General features: G+C 55.2%; 1 protein-coding gene across 14 annotated transcripts in view, besides 4 other annotated features; it reads left to right on the top strand.

Annotated features, from left to right (window-relative positions):
* PTPRN2 (protein tyrosine phosphatase receptor type N2) overlaps window positions 1-12,027 on the top strand; it is a 1,048,768-nt gene that overhangs the window by 261,386 nt on the left and 775,355 nt on the right. For 11 of the 14 annotated variants that reach the window (XM_047420678.1, NM_130842.4, NM_130843.4 and 8 more), the window contains one exon: window positions 9,506-9,619. The exons of 2 other annotated variants lie outside the window; for them this stretch is intronic. In XM_047420678.1, coding sequence (XP_047276634.1) covers window positions 9,506-9,619 — 114 coding nt within the window. Of the gene's footprint in view, window positions 1-8,493; window positions 8,795-9,505; window positions 9,620-12,027 lie in introns of those variants that run through there. One more of the 14 variants, XM_017012475.1, reaches the window with a different exon arrangement.
* Window positions 19-1,005: an enhancer, noted in NCBI's record as "NANOG-H3K27ac-H3K4me1 hESC enhancer chr7:158118125-158119111 (GRCh37/hg19 assembly coordinates)". NCBI's record gives its function as "activates a minimal SCP1, AML or CMV promoter by ChIP-STARR-seq in naive H9 embryonic stem cells {active_cell/tissue: H9 hESC(naive)}" and the evidence as "EXISTENCE:reporter gene assay evidence [ECO:0000049][PMID:30033119]".
* Window positions 7,966-8,717: an enhancer, noted in NCBI's record as "OCT4-NANOG-H3K27ac-H3K4me1 hESC enhancer chr7:158110413-158111164 (GRCh37/hg19 assembly coordinates)". NCBI's record gives its function as "activates a minimal SCP1, AML or CMV promoter by ChIP-STARR-seq in primed H9 embryonic stem cells {active_cell/tissue: H9 hESC(primed)}" and the evidence as "EXISTENCE:reporter gene assay evidence [ECO:0000049][PMID:30033119]".
* Window positions 8,718-9,468: an enhancer, noted in NCBI's record as "OCT4-NANOG-H3K27ac-H3K4me1 hESC enhancer chr7:158109662-158110412 (GRCh37/hg19 assembly coordinates)". NCBI's record gives its function as "activates a minimal SCP1, AML or CMV promoter by ChIP-STARR-seq in primed H9 embryonic stem cells {active_cell/tissue: H9 hESC(primed)}" and the evidence as "EXISTENCE:reporter gene assay evidence [ECO:0000049][PMID:30033119]".
* Window positions 9,469-10,220: an enhancer, noted in NCBI's record as "H3K27ac-H3K4me1 hESC enhancer chr7:158108910-158109661 (GRCh37/hg19 assembly coordinates)". NCBI's record gives its function as "activates a minimal SCP1, AML or CMV promoter by ChIP-STARR-seq in primed H9 embryonic stem cells {active_cell/tissue: H9 hESC(primed)}" and the evidence as "EXISTENCE:reporter gene assay evidence [ECO:0000049][PMID:30033119]".

The following is a 12,027-nucleotide window of genomic DNA, read 5'->3' as shown; positions in this document are numbered from 1 at the left end:
ATTCTCCTGCTGTACTGGGCAGCAGTGTCTCGTCTCCTGGCCCCTCACACTGGCCGACTGAGTCTGCCACTGGCATCTTCAGGCCTGAGCCAGAGCAGGGCTCCTGAGCGATGTCTCGGATGAAGAACTGGCACTGCAGGGAGGCAGCCACGAGGGGTCACTGGTGCTGCTTGGTGCTCACTGGCCACCTGGGTGACCGCAGCCTCTGGGCCTTGCCTTGTTTGGATGCAGGGAGGGAGTGAGTGACAGACCAGCTTGAAGAAGCACAGCAGGGTGCCATTGTTTCATGAGAGGCGGCTGTGCTCCCTCCCTGGCTGCCAGACTCAAGACCTGCGGCGGGTATGGCCTGTGGGGCCCTGGATGTGGTCCCATTCTCTCTGGAAAGTGCGCCCTGAGCCCTGCAACGTTGCTGTTTCTAGGCTCTGGGTTCAGTGCCTGGGACACCCCCAGGAGGCCGCGTTCCCCTCCTGGGCTTCCCAGGTGTGTTCCCAGGGAGCTGCTGTGAGACTGACTGCCCGTTCCTTTTGTCTGGGCAGGGTCAGCTGGCAGCCGCAAGAGCGGATGCATTTGGTGTTTACTGTAGACAGTATTCTGCAAACCTGAGTGTCTGTCTCAGCGATGGCTTTGTGACGATTCTAGAAATGGTCGCAGTCCCTGCCCAGCCCTGGAACGTGCTAGTGCTTGCTCCGCCGGGGTTCTGCCTGCCCGGTGGTTTGCCGGGTGTCTCTCGCCTGCCCTTCTTGTCGGAATACAGCCTCCCACGCCTCTCATCTGCAAAGGCTTCGTAATTGGGGTGCCTTTTCTGCCCATCCCTTCTTGCTCACAATTCAAGAACTTTGTTCTGATAGTTTCCAGGCAGCTGAGATAAATCAGTTTTCACGTGCATACCATTTACCTTAATATGCTGTTTACACAAATGATTGAATAGGTATGCGCATTGTGGTTATTTCAAACAATGCCCTAAGCTAATTGCCTCACTTTGAAATACTAAATTAAGTGATCATATTGTATTCATTAATTCCCAAGTCCTGTTATATTTCCATAAATAAATAAGAAATGTTAAAAAAAAAAAGACATATAAGTAAAAGTAGGTAAAGATATTAGAAAAAGGGGAAAAGCAGATGGTTAGTTCACTGGAATCTGTGCCACAGGCGCCTGTAAGCAGGAGGTGTCCCTGCCCAGGAGCTGGTCGTGTTCACGGCGTTTGGTGGAAGGAAGATGCTCCTGGCTGGGGGACCCCCTGTGGATCTCTGTGGAGATTGTGGGGCCTGGGGGACCCCCTTGGATCTCTGTGGAGAATTGTGGGGACTGGAGGACCCCCTGTGGATCTCTGGGGAGAATTGTGGGGCCTGGGGGACCCCCTGTGGATCTCTGTGGATAATTGTGGGGACTGGGGGACCCCCTGTGGATCTCTGTGGAGAATTGTGGGGTAACGCAGTGAGTGACGTTTCTCAGCAGATGCACAGTTAGCGTCTCTGGGCCATTTCTCCTAGGATATCCTCTAGGGCAGGCCTGGACGTGTCACTCGGGATGTCGTTTAGTGCAGGCCTGGGCGTATCACCTAAGCAAAGTGTGGCAAGAGTACTTTCCTCACAGGGTATCAAAGCCACCTTGTTCGGTCCACAGCTTTCCGGTGCTCCAATTGGATGGTTCTGGGTCAGTGCTATGGGTGTCACAGAGAGTGGAGGCTCAGTATCTCCAAGCAACAGGACCCTCTGGGGGCACCCTGGGCAGCAGAGCCCCACCCTTACTCTGAAGAACAGAGGTCCACTAGGATCACCTGCTTCACTTATGGAGCTGGGGATAGAAATGCTGGGGGTCAATCGGCCCTCTGAGCCCAAGCAGAGAGACAGTACGGGATGGGGTGGAGGCGCATGGCCACCTGAGAACTTGCGAGACTCATGCCAGCCCCTCCTAGGGTGCCCCCACCACCAGCCTTTTTGGTCCCCAGTGAGTCTTTCATCCAAGTGGGTCACTGCCAGGGGTGAGGACTTGTAAATCTATGTGAGATTTCAACAAATGAGGCTTCTAGCTGATGGTCTTAAACACTTCCACGGACATCTCCATTTTCTTTTAGACAAATGGGAAAATACCAGTTATAGTCATTCACTAACATCCTTTTAGTCCACACCGGGGGCAAGGCACTGTACCAGATGCTGTGGGGGCGTGAAGAGGCTGTAGCTGTGATCCCTGCCTTCCAGGAACTCACGGTGTCACCGGGGAGAGGGTGGTCCTGCAGGGCGGTAGAGGCGAGGTGCCGTCTTGTCTATGCGGAGACTGTGTGTGAGCGTACGCGTGTGGGCGTGTGAGTTTGTGCATGTGCGCTTGTGTGCACCTGTATATGAGTTAGTGTGTCTGGGTGTGTGTGTGTGTGTGTGCACGTTTGCAAATGTGTGTGTACGTGCTCCTGTGTGTGTGTCTGCATAATCAAGTGCATGCAAATGAGTGTGTGCACACTTGTGTGTGTGTACATGTGTTGGAATGTTCACGTGGGTGCGTGTGAGTGTGTGTATGTGTGAGTGTCCCGTGCATGGGAGAAGTGTGTGAAAATGTGTGTGTTGGTTCATGCAGGTATGAATGTGCATACATGCACCGTGTACACACGTGTGGTGTAAGGTTGGAGGGAGGTATGCAGCCCCACAGACTATATGAGAATAGAAGTGGGCTGGAAGCTTGGTCCTGGAGGAGGCCTGTGTTTGTGTTTTGGGGACAGTGACGCTTGCGAATGAAATTACTTTGGCCTGTGGGAACAGTGCTCTAAGGACCACTGTTTAAAACAAATTACCAAGATAAATGAGCTCTTTTTCTTATTTCTCCAAAAATCCAACCACAGAAAATGCTCAATATTTTCTTTCAAATGAAAGAAACTGACCACCCAATTCTAGATTACTGTTAATAAAAGTGTCTCTAAGCAAACCTTTTGCTCCTCAAAGCTTTTGTGTCCATTGTCCTGGGCCCTGTTCATCCGCTGCTCTGCATCCTGGGCATTCCTTCTCTCACTGTCTTTAGCACTGTCCATTCCGGTCCCAGAGGCAGTGGGGTCCAGCCTTCTGTCTGCACAGTGAAGGGGTTGCGTCCTAGAACTCTGAAATGTGGGGCCCCCTGGTTCACTGAGTCCCTGAGATTGGAGTTCTGTGGGGTCCAGCCTTCTGTCTGCACAGTGAAGGGGGTTGCATCCCAGAACTCTGGGGGTGTGAGGCCCCCCAGTTCGTTGAGTCCCTGATATCGGAGTTCCAGGCCAGGCAGAATTCTTGTCGGGGGACGCCTTCCATGTCTCGCCTCTCCCAGCCAGGGCAGCAAGAAGCCTGCCTTCCTTCCTGTTTTGGAAAAAGACTCATTCTACAGAACGTCTCCCAGAATATTCCCCTCCCCCACAAGCCTGTCTGTGCATGGGCTGGGTAGCATGTGGAAAGGCCTGGTTGCTGCTGCCGGCAGAGGGATGTGTGTTGTCCTAAGGTTCACCTTGCAGATGGCTCCAGTCTATCCAGGTCTCTGGTCTCCATGACCACCATCCTCACTTAGCCACCATCCCCTGGTTGGGGCTGCTCTGTTTACCCGCCATGGGCTCCTGGCAATCTCCAGCCCTTGCCAGGGAGATCTGTTTTAAAACGCAGACCCATTCAAGAGCCTGCCCTGCCTGGAACACCACCCAAGTGGAGGTGGCCTCCTCTAGCTCCTGGGATGAAGGCCACTGCCTCTGATTCCCGCAGGCTCTGCACAATCTGCTTGAGTGGCTTGACCAGCTTGGTGTCCTCTCCTGCCTGATCCAGAACTGCAAGGCCTTGTCCCCACTGCCCACTGGGGCTGACCAGGGCCAGGTGCTGCCATGCACGGAGCTGCTCCCTCCCCGTTGCCCACTGGGGCCAGGTGCTGCCATGCACGGAGCTGCTCCCTCCTGGCCGCCCACTGGGGCCAGGTGTTGCCATGCACGGAACTGCTCCCTCCCCGTCGCCCACCGGGGCTGGATGCTGCCATGCACGGAGCTGCTCCCTTAGCCTGGAGTGTCCTCGATGTCCTCAGGTCGGCCGCTGTTCGTTCTCTGACCGCTGGGTGAGGTCAGTGCCCTCTGTCAGGTGCTCTCGTGCCCTTTTTTGCAGCCTGTCCACAATTATAACCGAACCATCAGTGGTGAACATCTGTTGCCCCAGGATCCTGGAAGCTCTGGAGCATGGAGCCTGCAGTGTCTGCTTTTTCTGTGTGCGTGTCTCCCGGCTGTCCTGGCCTGGCCATGCAAGCAGGATGCAGGGCAGAGCTGTGGCTTCCCTGGGACGAGGGTGTGGGGCGGAGGCAGCCAAGCAGCAGGCATAGCACTGACCTGCTCCCAGAACAGGAAGGGGCTTTGCAAGGCTCAGGCAATGCTGGGGACAGAGATGATGAGCCTCGTTGATGAGAGCACCCAACGCTGCAGGGAAGACAGAGGGAGAAGGCACGAAGCCGTCATCGAGGAGCACCTGGGGGTTAGGCTTCCGCGCAGAGGCACGGGCAGTGTCTGTTTGCCGGAAGGGTTTATGATGTTGGATTGGCGGCATCCTTGGGCACGCACAGTAAGTTTGGCAGTTAAACACGTTAGCGGCTGTGCTTATGTGCGTGTATGAGTTAGCAGCTGTGCACGTGTTTCTGTATAAGGATTGACACGTACACATATATTTGCACACATGAGTGTTTTGATGGTGACAGTAGCCAAGGACGGGTGGACAGGGAGCCCACAGTTTTCATAGGCAAACCTGTTCTCATCTCCCATGATTTTCAGACAGCCCCCAATTTGAACTCAGTTGCCAGCAGTGAGACTTGGAATTAAGGTTGCGCATGGAATGCCCGTTCTGGACGAAGAGCAGGACCCTGGTTCTGAAAGTCTCGTGGATGGGCTCCATCACCCAAGGCCTCCTGCCTCCACTGCGGTGCGGTGATGCACTTCCAGCTGGGAGCTCAGCATGGCCCGCAGGGCTGCAGAGCTGGACGGGTCAGTCCGGGCTTCGACGATAGGGTCATGTCGACAGGCTGCAGGGCCATGGCACAGGAAACAGAGTCCGAAGTAGAAGAGAGTTCATGAGGAAACCCCAAGCAAGCTCAGATCCCAGGTGGGGTCCTGGCTGTGTCCCAAGAACACGAAGGCAGGAGTCCCGCAGAGGAGGGGCCTGAGGGTTACGGGCTCTGGGTGGTTTCTAGGGTGATTAAATGGTCGGCGGTGAGGCGACTTCAGTGTGCCACTTCCCGGGATTGTTTCAGAGGCCGCACTGCACGTCTGAGACGGTGGAGCTCAGCCTGGACTGGTGGGAGCTTTGGTTCTCTGGCTCCGGCACCCCTGCTGTGTAGATCACCCCTGGCGTCCCGACTCCGGAGTCTCATCGCACCTGATGCTTTCCTGATTGAGATTTGACTTTCCAGTCCTTTTCTCTAGTATGTTCATAGAGACCTTTTGGGGTCCTGCCTATTAGCCAAGTGACCCGGAAGAACAAAGCAATAGTTTCAAAATTCTGGCCACATAAAAATCAATTCTACCAGATGTATTTAGAAATTTCCTTAATTTTCTATTTCACTGCTAGGCACGTATCCATATTTGGGGGAATCCAGTATCCCCTTAAAATCAAGCAGGTAGCAGCGAACCTGGGCATGATCTGTGGGAGCTTCTGGGCTCCTTCCTTCTGGTCACAATCATCTTCAACAAGCCTTATTGCTGAGTATTTACTAGAATAAAGGACACCCACATCATGAAGTCCTTTAAATACGGAGATAAGGATGAATATCATTGTTGAAAAATGCATTGGATAAAAAATCATGAGATACCGATACACACCTATGACAGCAGCCAAACGCTGGAACATGGACGCCTCCAAGTGTCACCCAGCGCTGCCGAGGACGTGGGAACACGGACGCCACCCGGCGCTGCCGAGGACGCGGGAACACGGACGCCACCTGGCGCTGCTGAGGATGCGGGCGATGGGGGCGCCATCACAGCTGCTCGGAGTGAAAAATGGCACGGCCACCGTTAGGCTGATTGTCACTGTGGTGAGGACATGGGCGATGGGGGTGCCATCGCAGCTGCTGGGAGTGAAAAATGGCACGGCCACTGTTAGTCTGATTGTCACCATGGAGGACAGTTTGGCGGTTTCCTACAAAACTAAGCATACTCTTACCATATGAGCCAGCAGTCACTCGTGTTGGTCTTTACCCAAAAAAGTGGAAAATTAATATCTGCAAATACCCTGTGAGGGAGGCTGTGTGTGTGTGTGAGGGAGGCTGTGTGTGTACGAGGGAGGCTGTGTGTGTACGAGGGAGGCTGTGTGTGTACAAGGGAGGCTGTGTGTGTGAGGGAGGCTGTGTGTGTGTGTGAGGGAGACTATGTGAGTGTGTGTGAGGGAGGCTGTGTGTGTGTGTGAGGGAGACTGTGAGTGTGTGTGAGGGAGGCTGTGTGTGTGTATGAGGGAGGCTGTGTGAGTGTGTGTGAGGGAGGCTGTGTGTGTGTGAGGGAGGCTGTGTGTGTGTGAGGGAGGCTGTGTGTGTGTGTGAGGGAGGCTGTGTGTGTGTGAGGGAGGCTGTGTGTGTACGAGGGAGGCTGTGTACGAGGGAGGCTGTGTGTGTGAGGGAGGCTGTGTGTGTGTGTGAGGGAGACTGAGTGTGTGTGAGGGAGGCTGTGTGTGTACGAGGGAGGCTGTGTACAAGGGAGGCTGTGTGTGTGAGGGAGGCTGTGTGTGTGAGGGAGACTGTGAGTGTGTGTGAGGGAGGCTGTGTGTATGAGGGAGGCTGTGTGAGAGAGGCTGTGTGTGTGAGGGAGGCTGTGTGTGTGTGTGAGGGAGGCTGTGTGTGTGTGAGGGAGGCTGTGTGTGTACAAGGGAGGCTGTGTGCGTGTGTGAGGGAGGCTGTGTGCGTGTGTGAGGGAGACCGTGTGTGTGTGAGGGAGGCTGTGTGTGTGAGGGAGGCTGTGTGTGTGGGGGGAGGCTGTGTGAGTGTGAGGGAGGCTGTGCTTGTGTGTGAGGGAGGCTGTGTGCGTGTGTGAGGGAGGCTGTGTGTGTGTGTGTGTGGGAGGCTGTGTGTGTGTGTGGGAGGCTGTGTGTGTGTGTGCATGTGTGAGGATGCATGGAAAATATCCCTACTTTCCACTCAAGTTTGCAGTAATCTAAACTGCTCTAAAAATAAAGTCTATTAACAATGCACTGGGGATGGTGTCTGTGTCCACTGCATTCAGCACAGGGATAGTCTAAGGCAAAGAGAATCAATGGTTAGTTTATTTCAACTGTCAAGTAGCTAAAATTATTAGCTAAAACTGATTTTAAAAGCACAAACTATATTATGCATTATATTGTATATATTCTAAATAAATGTTTAAAAGAAAGTTTTCAAGAAAGTCTAATATAATTTTAAAATATATTTATGACATTGTATGCAAGAAACAAAATTTAAAGAATGAGGCTGTTATGCTTGAGAAATGCTTTGCTTGGAACGTTCCAAAATTGATAGGAATTGTCCTGGGCCATTTTTCTTTATGAAAAGCTGAATGATTTGATGAGGTTGCCTGGGAAGGGGATCCTCAGCTGCATGTTGCGAAGCGTTGGCTACTCACAGATGTGCTTCTCTTATATTTGGCACCAAATCACCAAGCCCTGTGTGCAGACACCCGGAGTGGCCGAGTGGGGCCCGGACCAGCCAGGCTCTGCCATGCCCTGAGCTGGCCACGCACGTCCACCCCGGGGGTGCATTTTCCAATGTGCGCAAGAGGCCGGGGAGCTGCAGGCAGCCGGCACCGTCACTGCTCTGGGGCCGGCCGAGAGCGCCTTCCTTCTGAGGGTGGGGAGTGCAGCTCGCGGGCTCTGCGGCTGAGTGGAGCCCTGGGCTTCTGAGCCTCCCTGGCCTCAGGGATCGGAAGAGGCCGCCGGCCCTGGCCTAGGATTAGGTGGTCACTGACTTGGGCCCCGCTTGGGGGTCCAGGAACCTGGCTTTTGGTTCTTCCTGGCCCGTGGCTCACTCCCTCCTCTGGGGCCCCAGGCCTTGGTCCTGAGGCCTAGGATTGTTCTGCATTGTGAGCACGGGAGCTGGGCCGTCTCGACGTGCTGCCCAGTTCCTGCTTGTTGCCTTTCTATTTTCAAGATATTTTCATTCGAAAAGCAGAGTAGGAACACTGGGTATGTTTGAAGTCGCTCCTTATTTTCCCTCTTTGCCCCTTTCTCCCTCCTCCCCCCTTTCCCACTCCTGCTTGCACTGAATGGTGCGTGTCTGAGGAAGGCAAAGGAGCGGGCACATCTGCCTGTGTTCCCGCCTGTGGTGCGGCCTGTCCATCACGGACGGTGGGGGGCGCCGGGCTCTGCAGACGCGTCCCCGAGAGCCCTCCGCCTTTGTGTGGCCTCGCAGGCATCTCGGGCCGGCTCTCGGACAGGAGGCGGCGCGGCCGGGCTGCACGGAGGGAAACGGCGCGGGCCTGGCGTCTCCTCCTTGCCATTGTCCGCCCGCCCGCGCAGCTGCCAGGCTGCCTCCCGGATTCCCTGGGCTTTGCAAAGTCCCATAGAAACCCGCAGGACGCTTGCAATACTCGAGGTTATTTTCTGCTAATCACCCGGCCCCGTCGTCGTGAGCATATATGCAATATCAGACCAGCAATTACCGTCAGCCTGGCCCTGGGCAAATGTGTTTCTGCTAATTACACTTGTTGCATTTGAATGGCTTTCTTCAGCCAAGCTGCACGGCGAAACCTAGTGAACAATAAAAGAGACCATTTCCCCTTCCGCCCCGCCCGAAGCTGCAGATGGCCGCCCTGTGTGGAAGCAGTAGCGCCTGAATTAACCTTTTGTGTGCACCAAAGAAGGTAATTTGAATGTTTGAAACCCCACAGGAAGCTTGTCTCAAAGTGAACAATTCGCCGAATAAAGACTAATTGGGGACTAAATTAATTAGAAGGTGTGGTTGGAAAGGATGTTGATGAGCAGAGTCTGCCATTTCAGACAAATGGAATCGAGCTAAATAAATTAGTCCCCATTAGTCCCACACCGTTCGCCAGCCCCGCGCCTCTCCTGCGCCGCCGGAAAGGAGCCCGGGAAGCCGTGCTTGCCTCCCACGCAGCCCAGGGAGAGGCGTCTCCGCCGATCCTTGTAGCTCCTGCAAAGTAATATTTATATTTCCTGGGTGTTCTGTTTTTCATCTGGAAAACTGGCCTGGAATGTTATTGACTTTGTTTTTTTGTTGTCACTGAGTTGTCAGAGGCAAGTTTTACATAAAAAATGTGAAATTACATAAAAGGAGGGCTCGGGGGGTATGGAGGAAAGTGGAGTGACAACATTGCAGCCACACTGGACTTTCTCTCCACCTTGGCATTTGTGTTTTCCGTGATGCTCGGTTTTTATCTCACAAACCAGCATCCTCCGGGTGCTCCCGGGTCCTAACAGCCCTCTGGTGACGCCGTGCTCCAAAACCTCACGGCGGCACATGATCAGAACGCATTGCAAGGACGTGTGTGACACCTTCCTGCTCTCTGAAAATGAAACGTCTCGTTCTGTCTTATCTCCTTCCCTTCTCACAGATGGAGTGTTTGGAAGGTGCCAGAAGGTTCCGGCAATGGACTTTTACCGCTACGAGGTGTCGCCCGTGGCCCTGCAGCGCCTGCGCGTGGCGTTGCAGAAGCTTTCCGGCACAGGTAGGGCGGGCGTGGGCCGAGGCTCGGCGGCTGCCGCACTGAGCGACCGCACGGGCTTGGCTTCTCCTCCTGGGCGGTGAGGAGCTGGGACGGACTGAATCCACGAGTGTGGTGGTGGAAGGGGCAGGTGGGAGCCGGGCGCTGGGCTCATGGGTGCTTCCTACTGGGATCGTCCGTTCCTGGGTTTGGAGGAGCCCAGGCCTGCTGCCTCCTGTGTCTGAGGGAGGAGATGCCAGGAGGCTGCAGTGGCCCGCAGCTGGGCCTGGCACAAAGTAGGCAGGCGTCGGCTGCTTATCTGGGCCTGGCTGGGTCCAGTGCAGGCGTGGCTCGGCCTGGAGAGAATCAGCCTCTGCCTGTCACTGTTGTGAAATTTTTGTTGCAGGTGGTCCCTGCAGGGGTGATGAGAAGATAATTTTTAAAATTATGATAATTTAAAAATTATATATGGCAACATGGTAGGACCAGGGAATTCCCACAGCACCGGCCCACTGCTGCGCTTCTTTGACTGTGAAGTGAGGGCTCTTGGTCAGAAGCAGTGCTGTGTGGACACCATGGTGATGGATAAGGCGTTCTGACTCCACGGAGGGTAGTTCTGGCAGGAGCACTGTGCGTAGGGAAGGGAAATCCACATCTGGAGTAAGCGTCTAGTCCAGCAAGGACCATTCCCCACCCCTTCCACAGGGGAAGCTGCCTGCGGAACCACCTGCCCCCCGGCGGCTGGCTGATCACCTCGGGGAATGATGTCATGTTGGGGACTCAGGGATGGTCTTTGTGGTGGCTGACTGGGGACTCAAGGGTGGCCACAGCAGGGCTGGCCTTGTTGAGTGGGAGCCCAGGCATCACCTCCAACTCTGCCACCGCGACCACCTTGTTCATGGGCCCATGGGGCAACGGCAGGGTGGCTGGGGAAAGAGGCTGACTGGTGTCCACAGAACAGGTCACCCTATCCACTTGGTTATTAAAATCCTCCTCTGCTGAGGTCACTCTTTGGAGAACATTCACACGGGACATTCATATCTTAGTACTTCATACCACTTCATAGACGTCTATCTAATATGTCTCTTCCCCAGTTGCCCTTGTCAACAATGTTTCCAACCATATTCTCTCCGAGTCCCTGGCCCTCCAGCCAAACCACTGGCCACAGCCCATTAATTCATAAGTAATCACACATCTGGCCGTTTCTCCTTCCAGGCGGAATCACCAGCCAGGTGCACTGCTGGAGATTCTGCTCACAGGAGGGTTTCCAATCACCTCTGTTCTTCAGGGGTCCCGGGTTCACCTCTGTCCTTCAGGGGTCCCGGGTTCACCTCTGTCCTTGAGGGCGTCCCGGGTTCACCTCTATCCTTCAGGGAGTCCTGGGTTCACCTCTGTCCTTCATGGGGTCCTGGGTTCACCTCTGTCCTTGAGGGCGTCCTGGGTTCACCTCTGTCCTTCAAGGGGTCCCGGGTTCACCTCTGTCCTTGAGGGCGTCCCGGGTTCACCTCTGTCCTTCAGGGGGTCCCGGGTTCACCTCTGTCCTTCAGGGGGTCCCGGGTTCACCTCTGTCCTTCAGGGGGTCCCGGGTTCACCTCTGTCCTTTAGGGGGTCCCGGGTTCACCTCTGTCCTTGAGGGCGTCCCGGGTTCACCTCTGTCCTTCAGGGGGTCCCGGGTTCACCTCTGTCCTTCAGGGGGTCCCGGGTTCACCTCTGTCCTTCAGGGGGTCCCGGGTTCACCTCTGTCCTTTAGGGGGTCCCGGGTTCACCTCTGTCCTTGAGGGCGTCCCGGGTTCACCTCTGTCCTTGAGGGCGTCCCGGGTTCACCTCTGTCCTTCAGGGGGTCCCGGGTTCACCTCTGTCCTTCAGGGGGTCCCGGGTTCACCTCTGTCCTTTAGGGGGTCCCGGGTTCACCTCTGTCCTTGAGGGCGTCCCGGGTTCACCTCTGTCCTTAAGGGGGTCCCGGGTTCACCTCTGTCCTACAGGGGTTCCGGGTTCACCTCTGTCCTTCAGGGGGTCCCAGCATGGGTGGTGTGTAGTGCTACACGTGTCTGCTTTTGGGTGGTGCCTGTGCATTACACAGAACCACCCACAAACAAAGCCCAAGTCACCTGAGCCCAAAGTCCATGGGGAACCCTCCACAAAGCCAAACTGCGGGTTGAGAGAAACGCGTGTGGCGGTGTGGGCCAGGGCGCCGGGCAGCTCCCTGATGCACACTCCAGGCCACACTGGACTCCTGAGCCCTTTCCCCACGGGAGCCTCCAGGGCGGCTTGGGCCCAGCTCCTGCTCCATATGTGCCACTGTCGTTTGGCGATGGGGTGCTGTGCGCAGGCCAGTGCCAGGCTTGGCAGGGCACGTAGATATGGGTATCAATGTAGATGACACAGACGGAATGCTGCCCACGCAGGGACAAACATGGAGCGAGCCATATTGA

This window comes from Homo sapiens, chromosome 7 (genome assembly GCF_000001405.40).
Source record: "Homo sapiens chromosome 7, GRCh38.p14 Primary Assembly".
NCBI lineage: Eukaryota > Metazoa > Chordata > Mammalia > Primates > Hominidae > Homo > Homo sapiens.
This window is presented reverse-complemented; position numbering and strand designations above follow the sequence as displayed.